Source organism: Homo sapiens, chromosome 3 (assembly GCF_000001405.40).
Source record: "Homo sapiens chromosome 3, GRCh38.p14 Primary Assembly".
NCBI classification, from domain to species: Eukaryota; Metazoa; Chordata; class Mammalia; order Primates; family Hominidae; genus Homo; species Homo sapiens.
In genome coordinates this window covers 177,994,031-177,995,012 of record NC_000003.12, presented here as the reverse complement: position 1 = coordinate 177,995,012, position 982 = coordinate 177,994,031, and the positions used below count along the sequence as shown (strand labels likewise).

The window sequence follows — 982 nt, the reverse complement described above, 5'->3', positions numbered from 1 at the left end:
AAATTAATTGGTTCAATTGAAGTTGGAGGATTGTCTAGGGGTTTCTGATAAATGCTCTTTAAAAATCATGTAGCAGTAGGTTTTGAAGTGAAAGGGGGATTTATCTATTAGTATAAGCTGTTCTATTAGAGGCATTTATAATTTGGTCAAACTAATCCTAGAAATAAATGTTTCCATCAGAAGTTGCATGCAATTGCCAATAACATAAATGTGAGATAGAATTAGTGCACAGAGAATATTGCCCTTGGTAGAAATACAATTTTTAAGGTAATACCAGAAACTCTAAGTAAATCTACTTTTTCTCTTATGGCACAGAGTAAATATAAGACTTGCACCCTGGTCACAGAGGTCCGATTAAGAGTAAATTAATGGCTGGGCATGGTGGCTCAGGCCTGTAATCCCAGCACTTTGGGAGGCCGAAGGGGGAGGATCACCTCAGGTCAGGAGTTCTAGACCAGACTGGCCAATATGGTGAAACCCCCTCTCTAATGAAAATACAAAAATTAGCTGGGTGTGGTGGTGTATGCCTGTTATCGTGGCTACTCGGGAGGCTGAGGTAGGAGAATCGCTTGAACCCAGGAGGCAGAGGCTGCAGTGAGCCGAGATCGCCCCACTGCACTTCAGCCTGGGCCACAGAGGGAGACTCCATCTCAAAAAAAAAAAAAAAGAGCCCGGGTGCGGTGGCTCACCCCTGTAATCCCAGCACTTTGGGAGGCTGAGGCAGGCAGATCACGAGGTCAGGAGATCGAGACTAATCCTGGCTAACACAGTGAAACCCTGTCTCTACTAAAAATACAAAAAATTAGCCAGGCGTGGTGGTGGGCTCGTGTAGTCACAGCTACTCGGGAGGCTGAGGCAGGAGAATGGCGGGAACCCGGGAGGCGGAGCTTGCAGTGAGCTGATGTTGCGCCACTGTGTCCAGCCTGGGACACAGAGCAAGACTCCATCTCAAACAAACAAACAAACAAAAAAGAGTAAAGTA

General features: G+C 45.9%; 1 annotated feature.

Moving 5' to 3' along the window:
- Nucleotides 567-774: a silencer, noted in NCBI's record as "fragment chr3:177712027-177712234 (GRCh37/hg19 assembly coordinates)". NCBI's record gives its function as "represses an EF-1alpha promoter that drives an FKBP-Casp9 reporter gene in an ReSE screen in K562 erythroleukemia cells {active_cell/tissue: K562}" and the evidence as "EXISTENCE:reporter gene assay evidence [ECO:0000049][PMID:32094911]".